The 23,482-nt window shown below is 36.7% G+C and overlaps 1 protein-coding gene across 13 annotated transcripts in view; it reads left to right on the plus strand.

The window, feature by feature from the left end:
* The window catches only part of POU2F1 (POU class 2 homeobox 1), a 206,461-nt gene that overhangs the window by 145,842 nt on the left and 37,137 nt on the right, over window positions 1-23,482 (plus strand). For 12 of the 13 annotated variants that reach the window (NR_037163.2, NM_001365848.1, NM_001365849.1 and 9 more), the window contains 6 exons: window positions 3,435-3,488; window positions 5,191-5,310; window positions 7,382-7,570; window positions 9,303-9,429; window positions 17,131-17,225; window positions 22,862-23,035. Coding sequence is in view for 12 of the 13 variants with exons in the window: in NM_001365848.1 (NP_001352777.1) it covers window positions 3,435-3,488; window positions 5,191-5,310; window positions 7,382-7,570; window positions 9,303-9,429; window positions 17,131-17,225; window positions 22,862-23,035 (759 nt within the window). In the remaining variant the exon portion in view is untranslated. The remainder of the gene's footprint in view (window positions 1-3,434; window positions 3,489-5,190; window positions 5,311-7,381; window positions 7,571-9,302; window positions 9,430-17,130; window positions 17,226-22,861; window positions 23,036-23,482) is intronic. The other variant, NM_001198786.2, reaches the window with a different exon arrangement.

Below are 23,482 nucleotides of genomic sequence, written 5' to 3' on the forward strand. Positions count from 1 at the left end.
ATGAATTTTAAAATATATTTTAAATATATCCTAGAAGAAAAAAATGTTTTCATGTTGATTTTTTTTCTAAGAACATATTCAAGCCTCCAGTAATTTTTCTGGGTTCCTAAGAGGAATAGCATTTTTGACAGAATTTAGTCAATTATTTGTCACCTAGTAAGCATCTTTATCTGGCTTAAATATGTGATGGTCCAAATGTATTAAAAAATCACTGAGGGTGCACAGATGATGTGCAGTTTTCTCTGCAGGATCCTTCTGGATCCAAATTCCAAGATGATTGCAACTCTCCCTGTACCAGCTCCAAGACCTCTAGATCTAGCCACTGATTACCAAAATCACAGACCCTTCAATACCACCCAGACCAAAGGACTGCAAACAAAAGAATTTTATTTGAAATTGCGACACCATTGAATCTCCCATCAAGACACAAGTCCTTGCATCTGATTAGCTACATAATTAACAGTGTGACACTTGCCTTCTATTTCCAAGCCCCTTATTGACAGAATTAGCACCTTGAACCTTTCCTTACCATAATTATAATATACATACACAAAATCGATGGCTTTAGGTCTGTTGCCCCATTAACTATAAGTTCCATGAAAATGGAAACCTTTTGTTGTTTACCTGTGTCCCAGCATTTACCAAAGAACCCCATAATACAATAGGTGTTCAGTAATTATTTGTTGAATAAAGTCATAGATGACTAAATGGTCAAGTATGAGACTACTGAGGAAGAAATGATTAGCTTACCCTGTACAATCTAAGACATTTCTCTCAGGGTGATTTTTGAGCTGAGTCTTGAGGGGTGTTGGAAACTAGCTAAATGGAGTTGGTAAAGGAATGCTCTCTTCTTTTTATTTTTAACTTCCTATTTTAAAAAAACTTTCAAATTTGTAAGAGTTACAACAATAGAACAGTGTTCATCTGAAAGCCCTTCACCTAGAATCACCAGTTGTTACTATTTTACCATATTTGCTTTATACCATATGTGTATATGTATGTATGTACACATACAAAATACATTTTGCTTTTACCATATGTGTATATGTATGTATGTACACGTACAAATTTTTTTTTTTTGAAATGAGGTCTTATTATGTTGCCCAGGTTGATCTGCAACTCCTGAGCTCAAGGGATCTTCTTGCCTTGCATCTAACTGTGATTATAGGCGTACACCATGGCACCGAGCCAAAAAAAATTGTTTTTTGCTAACCCCTTTGAAAGTTGCAGACATTATAACCATTTACTTCTAAATACTTCAGCATGTTTTTCCTAAAAACAGCATTCTCTTATAAAACTGCAGTGCAAATTTCAAATTCCAGAAATTTAACATTGATACGATATCATTTTCCAATATTGGCCCATATTTATATACTTCCTGCCCACAATCCAGTCCATACTTTGCGTTTAGCTGTCATGTCTGTTAAGTCTTCTTCAATCCAGAACAATTCCTCAGCATGTCTTTGTCTTTCATGATATTGGCATTTTTGAAGAATAGAGGCCAGCTGTTTGATAGAATGCCCATTTAACTTGAATATGATTGTTCCCTCAACGGCTGAACCCAAGTTATGCATTTTTGAAAGGAATACAGCAGAAATGATGCTGAGTCCCTCTCGGTGCATTCAGAAGCCGTATCATATTGCTTTGTCCCATTATTGTGATATTAAGTTTGATTATTTTATTAAGGTAGTGTTTATTAGATTTGTCCACTGTAAATATGTCTTTTTGCCTCCTGGTAAGTAATACTCTGTGAGGCAGTACTTTAAAGACTGTGTAAATATCCCATTCCTCAACAGACTTTTACCCTGAAACGTAATAAGTAAAAATCACATAAAATTTTTATCTTCTTCAAATCTTTGTACCTGAAGTTCTTTCCTTGGGCTCTTTGACTTCTTAGCCTTTAGGCCTTAAACATATTATCTGTTCAGATAGGCCTCTCCTGATTACACTGTATTTTAAATGTGTTCTACATATGTCTTCAGATTTTGGTTTTTTGTTTTTGTGTTTGAGGGTTCTCATCTACTAACAGGACTAGCAGTTTCAAATAAAGGACATAGTAGTCAATTCATTTTAGCTCTTAACTCTTCACTGAGCTCCATACCAACATTTATATTTAATCTCAGGACATCTTGATGCTATCTGGTGTATACAAAATGGAACTCATTATCTTCTCTGTCCCTGTTAGTGGTACTACCATTTTCCAGTTGCCCAGATTTGAACCCTGGAATAATGCATGACTCTCTTTTTTTAATCTAAATCCAGTCAGGATCCTTATGTAGTGCATTGCAGAGACTTTCATGTTTCCTACTTTTTATTCCCACTGCCACCATTCTAGTTTAGTTTTCCATTTATTCTAGCCTAGTTTATAGTCTCTTTCTCCCTCCTCAGTCTTTCTTTGTTTCAGGACATTGACTGTTTTGAACAGTGTACACTGGTTATTTTGTAGTGTTTCTCAGTTTGGGTTTGTCTGATTTTCATCATGATTAGATTCAGATTCTACACTTTTGTTAGGGATGCAGCATAAGCAATGCTGTATTCCTCTCAGTGCATCTTAGCAGAAGGCCTGTGTCTCCTTCCTGGTGACTCTTGTTTGTGCTCACTTGATTATTTGTCTGCCAGGTTTCTCCACTGAAAAGATACTATTTTACCCTTTGTGAGTATCAAGTATCATTGGAGACATAGCTGAGAATATGTAAATATCCTGTTACTCCTCAGATTTCTCACCCATTAGTTATCCATTGATGACTCTGCCTAAATCATAGTTATTATCATAGTTGCCAAATGATGGTCTTAATTCCATGTGTATCCTTATTTTCACATAACCATGATTTGAACTTTCTGAATGTATGAAATGTATTAAATGTTTTGACAGACTTTTATGTGTGGTTTATAGGGTAGATTTTCTATTTCAGCTAAGAGTTTTAAGTTATGATTATAAATGTTTTAAGGACTTGGCTGTGTGGGTGTGTAAATATATTTCTACTCTGGTGTATACATGGAACATTCAAAATTAAAATAAGTAGATGGTTCTGATTGTTTCTAATAATAAAGAATGTATATAGATAGCTTATATGTTCTTTAACACAATGTGGAAGGTTAATTAAATTTTTAGAATCTTAAGCATTCTGTGAATACAAACAATGTTATGTAAGGAGCATTCAATACAAGTGTGGCATGGCTGATAATGTTCATTTAGTGTGGGAAAACATCTTCAAAAAAAGATTAACAGCATTTTTCTGTGGGACCCGTTGGGGTGGGGTAGGGTGGGTTGAGAAGGGACTGAGCTTGTTCATAAAGTTTTAACTCCGTAAGACAAACTTCTTTGTCTTCTCAGTTCTAGCTCGGTGACACATAGTAGACTTTATTTAGTGATGACAACCCCTTGTGATGAATGTCAACAGTATTAAACTAGAACTTCCCCTGATTACTTATAGGTCCAACTCGCTGGAACAAGTTTACAGGCTGCTGCTCAGTCTTTAAATGTACAGGTAAGCTGGGACCTGGGATTATGGGTCAATCTTTTATTTATTTTTTCTTATATTTTTCTGTAGTGAGCATATATTTTATAATAGGAAATGCTTAGAAGTATTACCTTTTCAAAATTAGTGAATCTCGTGAAGATTCAAATAATGATAATTATTACCATTAATGAAAATCAGTTTTATATTATGCTACTGTGCATGAACCAAAAATGGACAGGAAAAGTCTACTTTCAAAGTTGTATGTGTAAGTTCAGTAAAAATGTTTCTAAGTTATACTGCTATAACACATACCTAAACACACAGCCTGAAAGTTCTCTTAAATGCCAGTTTGTTTCCAAAAGACTTGTTATTTATCATTTTTGATGTCTTAGGGAGACCTTATAGGGAAGAGGAAAGAACACTGGACTGAGACACAAGGGTCTTAGGTTTGCATTCTCATTCTGCCACTGACTAGCTGTGTGACCTTTGGCAAGTCACATAACCTCCTTGGGTTCAGTTTTTCTCATCTGTACTTAAGTGGGGACATTTATAAGATTGCCAGGGTTCCTCTCCATCCTAAAATGTTAGGCTTCTAATAATTGTAATTAAACCTGTTTGTAGATGTTGGTGGATAGACAATCAAAATCTTAAAACTTAAATCTGGCCACTTTCCTTCTTTGAACCATATGGCACAACATGCAAAGTTCAAGTGTTAGACATTGCCCTCTTAATATTTCTATCAACCTGCTGGTTCCTTTCATTATAGTGTTTAGGTAACTAGCAGTCAAGAGGGAAAGACAGTATTATGGAAGATTGATTTCAGTGTTGCTAATGACTAAAGACCTTGGGTTGAGCATTTCATGAAACCCAGTTGAATATGGACCTAGTAACACGTAGGAACAAGGAGAGAAAAGAAAAAGAGATAATGTGACCTTACTTTCTGAGGGAGAGGAGGCGGAAAATTGCCTTGGTTGCCATGGTAAACTTTCATCCCTTAGAGAGATGTTGGCAAACAGGCTGTATCTCCAGTGCAGAATGTTTACAGTCCTGCACTGTAATTATCTCTCAATGACTGGCAGAATTAATCAGAGCATTTATGTTAATTAGCCTTGCTGCAGTCCCCAAAACAGGTGGTGAGAAATATGCAAATCTATGCAGAATTTTAATGCTTTGCATAACCAGTTTTAATTACCGTAAAATTTTCTCTTCGTGCCCCTCTCTCTTGACTGCAGCATTTTCTCTCTGAGCTTGTGTGTTAGTTGATGGGAGTTGCTAGATTTACCGTTCTGTAAAATATTAGGTGGAAAGTTCTGTGGATCAAGTGATCATTCTCTGAGATGGTATATGGAGAAGTTTCAGACTGACCACCAGGTGTATGTTAAAATATTGGTTTGGAAGGTCTAATGTAGAGGTGAATTGAAAATATATTCTTCCCTTTACCCCCTATTTCTAGAGTTGAGGAATTGGGGGCTATGAAAAAAATCTATAAATTTGTGGGGGATGACTTTATTTTTAAAAATTGTAATAGCAGCTTTGCTGGCATTAGAATTAACAAGTTTAAAAACTTGGTATGTGAAACTAGGAAAATACAAATAAAAGAAAGGAGGTAAACCAGAACTCATGACTGAATAAGCTCATGTTTTAAATGATTCCTAAAAGATGGGGTTTTAAGTACATTTCTTTTAATCAACCATTTGCAATCTTTTATTTCCTACCCACCCCACCTCAGTCTAAATCTAATGAAGAATCGGGGGATTCGCAGCAGCCAAGCCAGCCTTCCCAGCAGCCTTCAGTGCAGGCAGCCATTCCCCAGACCCAGCTTATGCTAGCTGGAGGACAGATAACTGGGGTAAGTGTTCACTGAGAGAATTATAACAAACTTTTTCTGTGTCAGAACTGCCATTGGCCAATAGCTGATTAGAATTGTTCACCATAGCTGGTAGTAACATGGCTATGCCTGGCACTATTGTGTCTTTAAGGAACTTCCTACACTGTAGGTAGTAAGTTGCTCTGAAAAAGGAATTATCTTTGTCGTAAGTTTTCAGGATATCTTTTATTAGAATTGTGGATGCTCTGGATAAATTAAAAACCTTATTAAACCCCTGTTTCAGGTGTTGCTTCATCATGCAATGGAGTAATTATCATATGGTTGAGATCATTACACTGAAAATGGCAGTTATCCATTTGGCATTAAGACATCACTGCAGGGTAGAAGTTAAAGAATGGATTAGTACCTGCAAAAGAAAAACATTTTTCTTTAAGTTACTGTGTAATGATCTAAAATAAAGCATGTGGCTTCATATCCTAGCTCTGCAACTTACCGTATGGCCTAATTACTTCATTTCCCTCTACCTGTTTTCCTTCTGTTAAATGGAGATACTAATAATACCTATCTCACATTACTGTTGTAAAGATTGGAGATAATACATGTAAAACTTATAGAACGGTGCTTGGCATGTAGCATTCAACAAATATTGTTTATTTTTGTACTTGATCTTAGCCAAAAGGCTGAGACGTTCTGTCATTTATTTTTTATGGTTAATAAATTGGCCTGTTTGGCTATATTAAGCTTTTAAGTTTTCAGCTGTCTTTTCTCTAAGGCACCATTCAAAATATTTTTCCAATGTTGAAAATTTGTGTATTAAATTATCTTTGTGGGGGTTGGTTTAGGGCAATGGTAAGGAATAGTTTTTATTCAATTCACATCACATTAACTCCCAAGAATTTCCTAGGGTTTTTTGTTTTCTTTCTTTCTTTCTTTCTTTTTTTCCCAGTTAAGTGTGTTTTGTCAGTGGACAACTGTTTTAAGAACTGTTGCAAAATTGTTCACAAAATCCCATGAGTAGAGATGTATGTATATATATATTATGTAAAAATTAAAAATATATCTATACTTTATATACACACATATCCCTTGAAGGGTATTGAGTTTTTGAATGGTTTGGTTTTGAGCCTTATGTTTCTAATGCACAAATTGTGTTTGATTCTTTTAGAGGAGGTTGTGGCACTAAGTGACTGTACATATACTTCAGAAAATTATGGTTCCATCTTGTTTGATCAATCAGAACTTGTCACCAAAAGAAAAGTAGAACACATTTACTACTTTAAGTGTGTTTGAAATAAGTTGCATTATGAAAACAACTTTAAATATGCTCTAAATACATTTCCTACTTTACTATTTGGGTCTTGTTTTTGGTGACTAGTGTCTACAATAGTAAGAGGGAGTTGGGATTCTAGGTTCCTTTGGCTGGAGCTTCTGTTAAACCTGGGCATTAGGGTTCATTTGCATGTAAAGAGAACGGCTATCACCACCTGTTTCATAGAGATAATGTGTTGGAAAGGAGATGTAAAGTTGCAGAGACTCAGTGCTTTCAATAACAGAAAAGATTGTGTTAGGGAGGGGCCTGTAGGGAGACTTGGAAAAGAAACAAATGGAGCTCATATTCTTTAGTCATATCTTTGGACTTAATGGAAATGATGGAATATGGCAGGGATTCATGCTAATGGGAAGCAGCTGGGCCTTATCAGTTCTTTCCTTGGTTATATCCAGCATCCTTGTTCCTCATTCATCTGACTAATCACTTGCTGTTTGGTTGTGTGTAAATGTATTTTCATATCTTGTCAGTGGTGATTCTTTTTTTTTTTTCTTGCTTACTAGTTAATTACTTTTTTGCCCAAACCCTAGGGCCCTGGACAAGCTTGAATGATTAAGTCCATAGTGGGGACCACCATTTTAATTTAAATGTTCTGCTAGTAATGGTAGTTTGATCACTGATGAACATTTTAGCTGTCTGCTAAGCAAGTGAAGTTGGGTAGCTGGGGACTGATATCATTTGAGTTACCTATTTTAAAGCAGTTGGCTTGCATTAGGAGACTTTCTCCTTCAACACTTTCCCATAATGTGTTCTGGTTTTGTTTAGCTTACTTTGACGCCTGCCCAGCAACAGTTACTACTCCAGCAGGCACAGGCACAGGCACAGCTGCTGGCTGCTGCAGTGCAGCAGCACTCCGCCAGCCAGCAGCACAGTGCTGCTGGAGCCACCATCTCCGCCTCTGCTGCCACGCCCATGACGCAGATCCCCCTGTCTCAGCCCATACAGATCGCACAGGTGAGTGAGGAACTCCAATAGCTGGGGCAGCAAGTGAGGAATAAAGTGGCAGGTTTTATTTAATGTTAGATTAACTTTTTGATTGTTAGTGTGGGGCCTTAACTGCCTGAGGAGCTCTAGATCAGTGAGGTAAGCGGTACCCTTCCTTACCACTGAATTAGAAATAATGTTTGTTTGCTTATTGTAGTTGATATTGTAAACATATAGCTGATTATTTGAATAACTGACTTTATATTAAGTGACAATTCTTGAATAATTAGCTGGCATATTTTTGAAGCAGGGGATTACTGTATTTATTTTAATTAGCTAATTACAGCAGACATGGATTTTTTTTCATGTGCTCTGCGGTGAATGTTGCCACCCATGTGTGAGACAGTGAGTCATCTCTGCTATGGAGTGATTAACATTATTGCATTAGAATGTTGTTTGGTTTCAATTTTCACATTTTAGGGCAAAGTATCTAGAGATAATAAAAATTTATTTAAGAAGCGCCAGGCGCGGTGGCTCACGCCTGTAATCCCAGCACTTTGGGAGGCCGAGGCGGGCGGATCACTAGGTCAGGAGTTCGAGACCATACTGGCTAACACGGTGAAACCCCATCTCTACTAAAAATACAAAAAATTAGCCAGGTGTGGTGGCAGGTGCCTGTAATCCCAGCTACGCGGGAGGTTGAGGCAGGAGAATAGCGTGAACCCAGGAGGTGGAGCTTGCAGTGAGCCGAGATCGCGCCACTAAAAAAAAAAAAAATTAAGAAGCATACACAATAGTACCAAGGAGGAAAATAAATAAAATCTTTAATCTCAAGAAGAGGAAAAAGGTATAAGTAGATATATCAGTAAAATATATGAAGAGTTATTATGAGTCTAATTGTTAGACAGCTGTCTTTATCCGTCTCAGAAAAGACTCAGAAATGGACTTAACTTGTAGCAAGAGTTTGACTAACCATTTAAAAAGAACTAATTAACTGTAAGAGTAGAGAATAAATATCAGACTAGTCTTTATACAATCTTTATCAAGATAATGTTTTGATTTTGGCCACTTTCTCATCACCAAATAAATGTTTTTAGTGCCTAAGCTGTGAGACCCTATATTAACATTAGTCTAAATAAGATAACGTTCATGAAAACACTTTGAAAATTATAAAACAGTAGGCCAATGTAAGGTGCTATTGTTGTTAGGGATTAAATTTTTATATGGATAGCTATTTTTGGTTTTAAAAAATTGAATACTTTAGAACATGTGGAAAAGGGCAAAAAAATTGAATACTGATTTTTCAGTTGAGTTAGATAAGCTGTTGTCAAATGTCATAAGTCATTATAGGCCCTTTATTGATGGAAATTCAGACATAACACGATCAATTTTTATTTAAGAGAAAGATCAATCAAATATTTAAAAACTGTTTTCTCACTTGATTTTTAAAACCCATATTGGTCTTTACATGATAAAAAACAGAAGTATATTTGTTCTGAGGGAATTTTAAAGAAACATTGAAAATTAGGCTTATCATAACAATATATGTCAGTCCACAAAAATAGTCAGTTGCAGAGGCTCCAGGTTGCTTCACGTGCTTTGTCAAGCACACACAGAGCATACCCTGTTTGGAATATGAAAGCATGCGAAGTATTTACTCTTCTTTATTTGGATGTGACAGAAGTCATCAGCTGGAAGCCTTATAATTAAGCGAACTTTTATTTCAGAATCTCCAATCCATGTTTTAATTCCAATTTTTCAGGATCTTCAACAACTGCAACAGCTTCAACAGCAGAATCTCAACCTGCAACAGTTTGTGTTGGTGCATCCAACCACCAATTTGCAGCCAGCGCAGTTTATCATCTCACAGACGCCCCAGGGCCAGCAGGGTGAGCTCCTCCTTAGAGCTTATTAGTGGTATACCAAGGCTGTTCGCTGAATGTTACACATGCATGAACTACTATCATTTTGGCCCTGAAACTATTAGACCAATGTTTTTATTAAATTTTATTTGATTATAAACTTTCGTTTAAAAAAAGTTTTGTTTTGTTTTTTGTCATAAATACCACATTATTGAAGGTTGCCCTGAACTGCCATTCATCTGCTTAATCACTAAGGAAGAACCAAGAGTTTGGCCAAAAGTCTAAGTGAAATTATTCAACATGCCAAACATAAATTGGATAAGTTGCTGCTAGTGTTTTGATTGTTTTTCATGGAAGTGTATTCAAAGAATATAGACTGAGTGTTGAAAGTATGTGCTTCTAACCATTGTTTTTTTAATTTAAGGAGGGAAGACTGCTATAATAGAAACTACAAATTTCGTGAGTTATAAAAAACATCTTTGAGTCATTTGAGTGGTAAATGTTATATAATTAATATATCAAACAACCACTCGTCTGTAAGGTCAGTTAATGTAATCAGGGTGAAGAATGTCAGAGTATCAAGGCTTCAACCCAAGGAACATTAGTGCATCACTAATGATTCTTTATTATTTCTGAGTGGGTTTTTTTGCCTTTTTTCTTCTTGATCATTCATTCCAAAATCTTTTGTCATGAAATAATTATTCTAGCATATATTCAAGATTCAGAGATAAGTAATTCAGTATTTACTTGCAGAGGGCTCACAATTTAGTGGCAGGGAAACAGACCTAAATTATGTTAGATTTGATATGCACACAATGCTATGGGAACCAAGCAAAGAGACCCCTGTAACTTTGTGCTCAGATAAGTCTTCACAGTGAATTTGGGAAAATACATTCATAGGCTTACAAAAGAGAGAATGTCAGTCTTGGAAAATGAACAGCATTTGCAAACCTTAGAAACATGGAAGAAAAATCAATAAGCTGTGTTTGAGAACTATAAGTAGTGCCTTACAACTGCAGAATAAGTTTGCATATGCAGGTAATAGTGAAATTTGAACCCAGAAAGATTAGCAGAGACCAGATCATTAAAGAACCTTAGATTAAGTTTCCAGGAGTTTGACCTTAAATCCTATAGCTTAGTGCTTCCTAAGATTTGATTTATTTAAGAGTCATTAATGGCCAGGCGTGGTGGCTGACGCCTGTAATCCCAGCACTTTGTGAGGCCGAGGCAGGCAGATCACGAGGTCAGGAGATCGAGACCATCCTAGCTAACACAGTGAAACCCCATCTCTACTAAAAATACAAAAAAAATAGCCAGGCGTGGTGGCAGGCGCCTGTAGTCCCAGCTACTCAGGAGGCTGAGGCAGGAGAATGGTGTGAACTGGGAAGGCAGAGCTTGCAGTGAGCCAAGATTGAACCACTGCACTCCAGCCTGGGTGACAGAGTGAGACTCCGTCTAAAAAATAAAAAAATTAAAAAATCACTTGAGGAATTAGAAAAGTTTCCTGAGCCCTAACCCCAACCTCCCAATTACTTTTTTTCTTATTTTTAAACTATTAGGTTCAGGGTTACACTCAGGTTTGTTATGTAGATAAACTACATGTCATAGGGATTTGATGTACAGATAATTTCATCACCCAGGTAATAGGCATAATACCTGATAGGTAGTTTTTTCGATTCTCATCCTCCTCCCACCCTCTACCCTCAAGTAGGCCCTGGTGGCTGTTGTTCCCTTCTTTGTGTACATATGTACTGAAAGTTTTATGGCTGTATAGTATTCCGTTGTGTATATGCACCACATTTTTTTTAATCCAGTCTAGTGTTGATGGATATTTAGGTTGATTCCATGTCTTTGCTATTGTGAATAGTGCTGCAATTAACATACGCATGGGTATGTGTCTTTATGGCAGAAAAATTTATATTCTTTTGGGTATATACCCAATAATGGGATTGCTGTATCAAATGGCAATTCTAAGTTCTTTGAGAAATCGCCAAACTGCTTTCCGCAATGGCTTAACTAATTTACATTCCCACCAGCAGTGTATAAGTGTTCCCTTTTCTCCACAACCTCGCCAGCATCTGTTATTTTTTGAGTTTTTTTGTTCTTTGTTTTTTGGGATTTTAAGAGATGGAGTTTCACTCTTGTTGCCCAGGCTGGAGTGCAATGGCACGATCTCGGCCCACCGCAACCTCCGCCTCCCAGGTTCAAGCAATTCTCCTGCCTCGGCCTCCCAAGTAGCTGGGATTACAGGCATGCGCCACCATGCCCAGCTAATTTTTTTTTTTTTTTTTTTTTGAGACATAGTTTCACTCTTGTTGCCCAGGCTGGAGTGCAGCAGCACAATTTCAGCTCACTGCAACCTCTACCTCCTGTGTTCAAGCGATTCTCCTGTCTCAGCCTCCTGAGTAGCTGGGATTATAGGCGCCCGCCACTATGCTGGGCTAATTTTTGGTTTTTAGTAGAGATGAGGTTTCACTATGTTGGCCAGGCTGGTCTCAAACTCCTGATCTCGGGTGATCCGCCCACCTCGGCCTCCCAGAGTGCTGGGATTACAGGCGTTAGCCACTGCATCAGGCCTTTTTGTTTTTTTGTGTTTTTTTGAGATGGAATAAATAGGAAATGGATTCACAGGCTCCTCGTTCTTGCTCTATTTGTTTGTTTGTTTTTGAGATGGAGTTAAATGGCATGATCTTGGCTCACTGCAACCTCTGCCTCGCGAGTTCAAGCGATTATCCTGACTCAGCCTCCCAAGGAGCTGGGATTACAGGCATGCGCCACCACACCCAGCTAATTTTGACTTTTTTTTTTTTTTTGAGACAGAGTCTTGCTCTGTCACCCAGGCTGGAGTGCAGTGGCACAATCATGGCTCACTGCAGTCCCAGCCTCTTGGGATCAAGCAGTCCTCCCACCTTAGCCTTCAAAGCAGCTGGGAGTACAGTGTGTACTACCTCACCTGGCTAATTGAGAAAAAAAAAAAAGTTTTTTATAGAGACATGTCTTGCTGTGGTTGCGCAGGCTGGTCTTGAACTCCTGGGTTCAAGCGATCCTCTTGCATCAGCCTCCCAAAGTGCTGGGATTATAGGCATGAGCCACTGTATCTGGACTCACTTAGAGGAGTCTAATGTGAATGGCCCAATATCTTCCAATAAGAAAGTCTTCTGTCAACTCTACTAAACCACAGATTTAATCAGAAAAGTGGCATTTCCAAGTTTTTATTTAATAAAGTTCATGTTGAAACTTGGGTAGGGAAAATTGGTAAATAAGTAGGTAGATGGACAGGACCTGGTGGCCAGTTATATTTGATTAATGATAGGAAAGAAGTATCTAGGTATAATGCCTGGGTTTTTAGGAAACTACGAGGGTTGATAGGGTCAGAGAAAATATATATGTAGTGTTAGAAGAACCTTGGTGAAACCAACCTTTTAGGTGTAAAGGATTAAGTAGATTCAAAAGATACTGCATTTTCAGAAGTCAAAAACTAGTGGAGAGTGGTAATCGCAATGGAAGAAAATGCCAAGAGGGAAGGAGAAAGTGACCTAGATCAGAAAGACTTAGGAAGGTCAATGCAAAGTGTGTTTATTAGATTTGTTAATTGCCAAAGCCTTAAGATAGAATGAGATTGCCTTCATTCACTTTCAGCAAAGCCAAGGGCGTTGTCTTTCCCTTTTCATATCTGGGACCTCATTTTATTTCAATTTTATTTGTCTCAAATCAAGATAGTAGGAATAATGAATTACTGTTCATTCTGATTTTTTGGTACTTGCAAAAGTATGTGTATGTTTTTAAACACTCCCCCAACTTCCAGACTTTTATAAGATTGGGAAAATAGCACAGATAATGTAATACTGATTGGCCTTAGAGCCAGTGACCCTGGACAACTCACCTAACCTTTCTGAGTTTCCCATATTTCCCTTTTTATCTTCCCCTTCACTTACATGGGTGAATTACAAAAAAAGTTTTACTACCCTAACATCAGGAAGGTCATTATAATGTAGTAGCAAAGAGCATAGACTCTAAAGCCAAACTGTCTCTTTGTGAATCTTGGCTCTGCCACTTACCTGTGTGTCCTGGGGAAAGTTAACTTTATGGGCCCCTGTTTCCTCAACTGTGATATTAGGATACTTTCAGTGTTCACCTCTAAGAGTTGTAGGGAGTCAACGAGTAAACACATGTAAGGCACCTTTTAGAAAGCTGCCTCCTACATAGTAACCTTTCTAAATCTTTGCTGCTGTTACCATTATGACATTATCATGATACCAGTATCATCCTCAGTCAACAAACGATAGATAACTCAGAGAATGAAAAGGTTGTTCCTTTATATAGTTTCCCTAGAATCACCTTGTACCACTGCTGCTGAGTTGCAATCATTCGTTAGTCGTATGTGACCTAGATTCCATTTTCTAAGATTATTCAACAATGTAGAGGATCAGCGTAGTGGAAATACGTCTATAAACATTTCTAAGAATTGAATTCATTGTAATTAATAGCATCAGAGAAGCTGAAAATCCAAAGAGCTAATCTCTTAACTTCATGATGGAGGACAAAGATTTTATCTTTTGGAATTTTAATAATGTTTCCAGCATGAGATTAGCCTTCAATATTGATTTCTGGAATTCTGTTTTCCCTTGTTTTTCATTGATTAACCTAAAACTTTTGAGATGTAGTTCATATTTTTGGTAATATTGCTATGATTATATAACTGTAACTGTCTAGAATTTAATTTCTAGCAAGGGAAATTTAAGCCTTTTCCTCAGAATTATTTTTCATGGGAAAATTCTTACTGATAGATTACTGGACTTGAGTCATAATTTATTGGTTATCTTATTCTGCCCTATCTACTCTCAGCACTAATTATAAAAATAATCAAAGAAATGTTTTTGGTTAGAAAACTGTTGTTCATTTGAGTTTTGTTTGGGTTTTCATTGTTTAGGTAAGGGAAAGTGGCAAGCGTTTTTTTTTTGTTGTTGTTTTTGAGATGGAGTCTTGCTCTGTCGCCCAGGCTGGAGTGCAGTGGTGTGATCTTGGCTCACTGCAACCTCCGTCTCCCAGGTTAGAAGGATTCTTCTGCCTCAGCCTCCTGAGTAGCTGGGACTACAGGCGCATGCCACCACGCCTGGCTAATTTTTTTGTATTTTTAGTAGAGACTGGGTTTCACCGTGTTAGCCAGGATGGTCTCGATTTCCTGACCTCATGATCCACATGCCTCGGCCTCCCAAAGTGCTGGGATTACAGGCGTGAGCCATGGCGCCTGGCCAAGCATTGGTTTTTTAAAAAGTTCTAAACCTCTATGGGCCCTTTCAGCCTTTTCAGCTGACCTTGTTTGGGGGTAAAACCTAAGGTTTGAATTTGTTTACTTATCTGCTTTTGTCTCTTACAGATTAAACTAACTTTCATTGTTAAACTTTAAAGAAACTCCTATGTTGAAATAGCCTATGTTTAATGGAACTTCATTTCTGACCTTTGTGCTCTCTTCTCTTTTTTTTTTTTTTTTTTTTTTTTTGAGACAGAGTCTTGTTTTTTCACCCAGGCTGGAGTACAGTGGCGCAGTCTTGTCTTAACACAACCTCTGCCTCCTGGGTTCAAGCAATTCTCTTGCCTCGCCTCCCGAGTAGCTGGGATTATAGGTGTGTGCCACCACACCCGGTTAATTTTTGTATTTTTAGTAGAGATGGGGTTTCACCATGTTGGCCAGGCTGGTCTTGAACTCCTGACCTCAAGTGATCTGCCTGCCTCGGCCTCCCAAAGTGCTGGGATTACACACATGAGCCACCGCGCCTGGCCCTCTCTTTTTTTATTATTGTTTTTGAATATTCTTTAGTCTTTTCAAAACAATTTTATTTAATTAGTTTTAATAGTTAACATAGTTTTGTTCCTCTAGACTACCCTTCAGTATTTTTCAAACCAGTAAAGTTTGATATTTTAATTAATTCACTCAAAAATTAGTTGAGTGCCTGCTGTGTCATATAGTGCTCTGATAGTTAGGGATGTATTTTGAACAAGATGCAGGCCCTGCCCTCATTAAGAGACGTCAAATAGTAAACATGTAAACAAATGGTTTAGATACCAATAAGTACTAGTCAGGTAGCGGATCATAGTAATCTGGTAATGGTTAACCTAAAGAAGAATGGGCCCATGGTCTGGAAAAGTCTCTCTGGAGAAGCAATATTTGAATTGGGAACTGGTGAGGAAGGATGAGGGAGAGGTTACCACACCTAGAATCTGAAGACAAGAGTCTTGTAGGCAAAGGAATGTGAAACACCTGAGATGGGAACAGCTTGACCTGATCCAGGAAAAGAAAAGCCAAAGTAGCTGGAGTTCAGTGAGTCAAAGGAAGTGGTAGAAGTTGAGATACGATAGCTAGACAGGGCCAGATACCTAGGGCTGCATAGATTTTGTTCTAATTCTAATATAAGGCCATGACAGCATTTTAATTGGGAAATAATAAGATTATAAAGATCACCCTAACTATTATATGGAGATTGAACTATAGGGAGACACTTGGGGAAGGAGGATGGTCATTTAAACTTCCATAAACCTGCCTTTTAAGAAATGTTTGTAGTAATATATGCTGAATTTTATTTAATCATATTTGCTTCAATATATATTTCACTTGTCCCAGATCAGCAAAAGTCAGGGTTCTTTAGAAAAATTCAAATCTATTTAATATATTTATCTTATTTGTGACCTACATTATGAAATAAATATTAGTATCTTTTGATAGCTTAAATTTAGGCAGTGCTTAGTTACTTATAAATAAGTGATAAATTCTATGGCTAATCTCTGGCAGGCTTAAGTGTTCTGGCTGTTGTCCTACATATTACAACATTTAATATATCCAAATTTAGTAACCTAATGAAATCATAATTAGGAAGCTATTGCCTCAGATAATCTTATCACATATTCAAAAGAAAATGGTAAAATCCCTTTTGTTTGGTGTGCTTTGTCGAATACTTTCTACCATTGCTCTTATCACAGCAAACATAATCTTGTATTTAGTATTTTAGCAACAGCATTTTATCTGAAACTCTTTACTTAAACTCTTTACTCTGTATTTAAGATTAAATCCTTAAATACAGACATTCTGGGTTGGTCCTGTCTATCAGTTTCTGAAAATAAAAAGCCATGTATTCAAGTAATTGAGCATCTTCTACAAACAAAGAGTTTGTATTTCTACTTTGAATGTCAGTTTGTCATCATGAAGCATTGGTGGCATTACATTATCAATTATTTGAAACTAAGACAGTTCAGTGTTCATGCAGATATTAATAGAATATTTTACATTTCAACTTTATTATCACCAACAGGCAAATGTTTGATAAAGAGAACTTGAAAATGCTTCTTTTCCTCTGGTCCAACATACGCTGGCAGTTTCTAATGGATTCTAGGTTAAGAAGTTGAGCTCTTTTTGGAATTTCCAGCTGTTTCTATTTAGAATAGTTTTTTAACTTTCATCCCATTCTTTCCTAAAATAAAGGATTGACCTATCACAGAGCTTATTCAGATTATGCCAAAGACATATCAGTTTTAATTTAATGTTGTATATCTTCTCTTCCAAGTTGTAAAACAAGATTGAATGTAAGGCAAATAAGATAAATAAGAGTTTTGATACCAGTAAGACTACCAGAGATCAACTGGAAATTTTCAGCTCATTTTCTGATTCTTTCTTTCTTTTGCCATGTGTTCGAAGAAATCTTTAATGTTTCTGGATAACATGTTTTTCTTCTACAGGTCTCCTGCAAGCGCAAAATCTTCTAACGCAACTACCTCAGCAAAGCCAAGCCAACCTCCTACAGTCGCAGCCAAGCATCACCCTCACCTCCCAGGTCAGTTTTCTTCTATGGGGGCTGCTTTCTCTTATCATATTGTTTGGGGAGACTTTTGGACTTTATTTAATTTTTTTTTTAAATCTAATAAAAATAATTCGGTCTTCGAAAACTGACCAGAAAATCAAAGCTAGGCTTATCAGCTCAATGCTACCAAATCAATATAGTCTTTGAAAATCTTCAGAGTTCCTGTTTCTTATATGTTCTTAAAGAATAACTGCATTAGCAGTAAATGAGTAATGAGTTCTAGCTATGTGACATCTCCCCTCACCATACTTGGCGGTAGATATTACCACTTAAACTGGAAACCTAGTGAGCCTCAGTTAAAAATCCATTGTTACCCTTTACCCTTTCTCAGAAACTGCTAAGAGATTTTGATCTCTATATTTTCTTTTTTCTCAATGCTTTTATGGTGCTTTAGCTCATTTCTACTAGACCATATAAACACTATAATTATATTAAAAAAATTTAGACATATAAAGGTTTAAATTATAGACCTGATTCCACTTCTTATCTAGCTGTTGCTTTGAACATGTCATTTTATCTCTCTGGACCTCAGTCTTCTCATCTATAAATTAGGTGACTGAACTGGCTGATCCTGAATCTCCTTCCAGCTCTGACTTTCTTTGTCTGCAGTATGGAAGTTATCACTTAATACTAACACATTACCAGATTTGACAGAATTCAGCATCCATTTATGATAAGAACTCTTGCAAACTAGATATAGAAGGTAACTTTCTTAACCTGGTAAAGAGCATGTATTAAGAAAAAAAAAAGAAAAGAAAAAAACCAACATCATACTTCACGAAAAACTGAATACTTTCCCCCTAAGATCAGAAACAAGGCAAAGTGACCAGTTGCCACTTTTATTCCACATTATACTCAAGGTGCCAGTAATGCAATAAGACAATAAAATAAAATATTAATAAATGACATACAGATTAGAAAGGAAGAAGTAAAACTATCTTAGTTGCTAGATGACATGATTGTCTATGTAGAAAATCTTAAGGAATCTACCAAAAAAAGCTACTGGAATAAGTGAGCTTAGCAAGTATGATACAAACTCAATATATAAAAATCATTTACATTTCTATACACTAGCAGTGAGCATTTGGAAATTGAAATTAAGAAAAAGAAATTTACAGTACTTAGGGGTAAACAACAAAATATTTGTAAGGCCTATACAAATAGTTCTATAGTTGAAAACTATAGAACATTGCTGCATAAAATTAAAGACCTATAAAATAGAAAGAAGTAATATGTTCATGAATCAGAAGACTTAAGTTAAATGTTAAAATGTCAGTTTTTCCCAAATTGACCTCTAGATTCAACAGTCTCAACCAATACCTAGCAGGCTTTTTTGTAGAAATTTGCATACTGTTTCTAACATTTATATAGAACTGTAGAAAACACAGAATAACCAAACGATTTTGAGAAGAAAATTGAAGGACTACTGATGTCAAGAATAATTATAAAACTCAAGTAATGAAGACAGTGTAATACTGGCATATGGATAGAAATAGAGATCAGTGGAACAGAATAGAAGGTCCAGTAGATCCACATGTATATGGCCAACTGATTTGCCAAAGGTGCCAAAGGATTTCAATGGGAAAAAAAAAGTCATTCAAAAAATGCAGCTGAAACAATAGGGAAAAAAAATAAAAAACCTTGACTATTATTTCACACCATGTACAAAGATTTGTTTGATGGGTCATAGACCTAAACTTAGAGAAAAAAGCTTGGAAAAAAATCTTTGTGTCCTTGGGTTAGGCAAGGATTTCTTAAATAGGACACAAAAAGCACCATAAAATAATGGATAAATTTAATTTCATAAAAATCAAAAGCTTCTCTCAAGTGAATGAAAAGAAAACCACAGATGGGGAGAAAATATTTATGAAACATATCTGATAAAACATTTGTGTTCAGAATGTCTAAAGAACTCATTCAAGTTAATAATAAGACAATCTGATTTAAAGGAATGGGCAGCAAAAAAATTGGAGATACGTCACCAAAGATGATATGTAAATGTCCAGCAGGCATATGAAAAGATGCTCAAAAACCGTTAGTGATCAGGAAAATTTAAATGAAATATCACTACACAGTCACTAGAATAAGCAAAATTTAAAAGGCTATGACAAAACCAAGTGTTGGCAAGAAGGTAAAGCGACTAGAGTTCTCATACATTGCTTAGTGGTGTTGCAAAATGGTATACACACTTTGGAAATTATTTTGGCAGTTTCTTTTTGGGGGGGTGAGGGGGAGGCAAGGTCTTGCTCTGTCACCCAGGCTGGAGTGCAGTGGCACAATCACAGCCCACTCTAGCAGCCTGACCTCCCAAGCTCAAGCAATCCTCCCGCATCAGCCTCCTGAGTAGCTGGGACTACAGGCGTGCATCACCATGCCCAGCTATTTTTTGTAGAGATGGGGTTTCGCCATGTTGCCTAGGCTGGTCTTGAACCCCTGGGCTCAAGCAATCTGCGTGTCTTGGCCTCCCAAAGTGTTGAGATGACAGGCGTGAGCCACCGCACCAGGCTGGCAGTTTCTTATAAAATTAAATGTGCATGTACCTTGTGACCCAGCAGTTCTGTCCCTAGAAATGAAAGCATACGTCCACACAAAGACTTGTATGTGAATGTTTCTAGCAGCTTTATTCACCTCAAACTGGAAACAACCTAAATATACATCAGCTGGTGACTAGGTAACATAAGCTTTAGCATATCCATATGATGGAATGCTACTTTGCAGTAAAAAGAAACGTGCTTCTGATACATGCATCTCCTGTGAATCTCAAAAGCATTATACTACATGAAAGAAGACATAAAAGACTGCATACAGTATGATTCAATGCACATGGCATTTTAGAAAAGACAAAACTAAGGTACATAAAACATATTAGTGGTTGCCAGGGACGGGGGGCTAATGGTGGGGATTAACTGCAAAGGGAACAAGGGAACTTTTGGGAGTGATGAGAATGTTCTGTATCTACTACTATCTGTAGTAACTGCTACTGCAATTAGTAGCAGTTGTATGACTGTAGTTGCTGAAACATATACTTTGCCCTTTTAAATGGTGAATTTGTGAATATGCTGAATGCAAGAGTGAGGTTGGGATTTTGAAAAAAGCCTATACCAGAGACTTCTTCCTGGCCTCCGTTCTCTGCATATGGTGGCAGGGCCGTTGTGGCTTCATCCTGACTCCTGCTCACTGAATTCTACTCTGCCATTTCTAGATCTGGCCCAGTCCAGCCTGAGGTTTCTGGAGCTGGGGTAACTTATCTGTAACCACCCCATCTAAAGGTACCCAAGCGATTTTTAGTCCTTTATTATTTGAGAATGGGGCTACTTCAGGCCCGGAGATGAAGTAACAATGTGATAGTTAAGACTCACCTGTAACTGTCAACCAGTTTCGCTGTGAGAAATGTACAGCTACATAGGGGTCTGCTATGGTTGGTGCTCGTTTTGGCTCCTCCAAAATGGTCAGGTTGAAAATTACGCAGTGTCAGCATGACATAGAAATGAACTTTGTTATTGTCATTGAAACAGGATAAGAGAGGAACTTAACTCCAGTTGTCGCCTGTGTAATGCTTATTCTGTAGTTTTCTGGGACAGTTAGTTCCTTTGGAGGAAGCCTTGACTCATAAGGTAAAGGTCAGGCTTATATAACTCATCTAAATTTGAAGAAGAAAAATTCACAGCCACAGACTTTATCTGTAATTCTGGTTTATAATCGCTCACCTGGGCTACTCTTCACAGGAGGAGTCAACTGAGCAACTAAGATGCAGTCAGGCAGTGCCTCCCACTAGTGAGGTGTGTTCCACTCAGGGCTTGTGAATAGAACAGAATAACCTTAAGTTTGTGTGATAAGAAAGTAGAGTATTTTATTTTTAAAAAGAGACTATACCCTCATGTCCCAAAATAAACTATACATGGATTTAAATAATCAAATATTCAACAAAGAAGAAGCTAGCAGATTAAAAGGAATTTTATCAATGTTAGAAATAAGTGAAGCTTTCTCAGATTTGAAGTAACAGGATATATTAGAAAGGAAAATTAAAAGCTCACCCAAATGACAATTTAAAGGTTTATGTACCCTGAAAAATAAAAGGAAGAAAGCAAATTGGAAAAGCATTTGCATTAATATGACAAAGCTTCCTTTATAAAATTTGAGGATCTCTCTAAGGATAAGGATGAGAATAAATATCATTAATATATAAATTGGTTAAGGACGTAAATCCAATTCACATTCAAAGAAATACAGATAATAATTGACACATGGGAAAATTTTGACATTGAGTAGTAAGAGAAATACAAATTAAAGCAGCAGGGAACTACCATTTACTTCTTGAATTAGCAAAACATTTTTTAAAACTGCTAACGTAAGTCATGTGGAAGAGTGTTGCATAGTGGGAACCAACGTTATGATATGTATCAAAAACCATGAAATTGTTTATCTAGTTACCAGAAAAGCCCTTGAGAATTTATCTCAAAAGAACTAATTACACACATAGGTGGAAAAAATAACTAATATGCATAAAGTTTTTCATTGTGTTATCTATGTTAGTGAAAACATAAAAACTGTCTAGCAATTAAGAACTGGTTAAGTAAATTATGAGAATATTGCCTTAGTTTTTAAAAAGGATAACTATGAAAACTGAAATACTCCTGATTTCAGTAGTCCAAGCTATCAAAGAGTAAGTCAGTGGTAGTGCTTAAAACAAATAAAAATGCTATATATCCAGACAACTATTTAAACCATTAAATATATTCACTCTTCTTTAAAAGTCCTCGGTTAGCTGACAAATTCCAGAAAATTAATTTGGATTTTGGTTAATTTGGGGTTTTCATCTTCTATAGATTCTTGCTCGATTAACTGGTGTTAGCATAGGCTTAGAGAGTATGTGTGCCTGTGCTTGCATGCCTGTCTCCATCACCCTCTCTCTTCCAAAAAGTTATTTTTATTTTTAATTTTTATTAATTTTTATTTTTTAGAGACAGTGTCTTGCTCTGTTAAAACAACGTTAAATAAGAAAAGCAGAGAGTAAAATTTTGTATACCATAATTACAGTGAAGGTTTAAAGATATAGGTCCTTGGGGAAAAAACTGGAACAGATATACAAAAGCGAAACCTGTTATAAGCTATTTAAACTGCAGGTGGTTTACTTTTCCCCCTTAATGATTTTGAATTATGATCTTGAATACTGTTTTTATAATACTGTGTCACAGGTTGGAGATGTAATAGTGGTAAACAAGACAGATATGCTGTCTACTGTTTTGACAGTTGAAGTGCTAGACTTATGAAATAGATTTTTTGAAATAAAGAGTAATTTATTAAAAGACATAAGATATATGTATTCAGACCATTTGAAAACCCAGTTATAATAGGTTTCATTTTTGTGTATTCATTTCATTTTTGTGTATTCATGTTTTTTCTATAGAATTACATAATTACTTGTAATTACAGTATACATAATTTCACTGTCTGCTTTGCTCACTGAACATTATGTTGTACATTCTGTAGTGTTACATGGTCTTCATCGTTATCCATAAATGTGGCTCTTTCCTTCAGTTGTTTACTTGGAGTAAACCTAAATATCTCTTCACGTGTTTTTCCTCATTGTTTTATTCTTTCTCCAACAGCCAGCAACCCCAACACGCACAATAGCAGCAACCCCAATTCAGACACTTCCACAGAGCCAGTCAACACCAAAGCGAATTGATACTCCCAGCTTGGAGGAGCCCAGTGACCTTGAGGAGCTTGAGCAGTTTGCCAAGACCTTCAAACAAAGACGAATCAAACTTGGATTCACTCAGGTAGGGTGAATTGGCCTTACATTGATTCCCCTCCTTGGCTGGGTCCAAATACAGTTGGCTCTCTGTATTCATGGATTCCACATCTGTGGATTCAACTAGTCCAAAATATTTGGGACGGGGGACGAAAAAGGATGGTCATGTCTGTACTGAACATGTATAGACTTTTTTCTTGCCATTATTTCCTAAACAATACAACAATTTACATAGCATTTACATTATATTAAGTATTATAAGTAACGTAGAGATGATTTAGAGTATATGGGAGGATACACGTATGTTATATACAAATATACATTTTATAATTTGGAGGACTTGAGCATCAGTGGATTTTGGTATCCAAGGGAGGTCCCGAAACCAATCCCCTGTGCATACTGAGGGACAACTGTATTTGCTTTACATGTCCAAAGAGGCTTCTAAGATACAATATGTTCCTCAGCCATGTTGTTT

Source organism: Homo sapiens, chromosome 1 (genome assembly GCF_000001405.40).
Source record: "Homo sapiens chromosome 1, GRCh38.p14 Primary Assembly".
Taxonomy (NCBI): domain Eukaryota; kingdom Metazoa; phylum Chordata; class Mammalia; order Primates; family Hominidae; genus Homo; species Homo sapiens.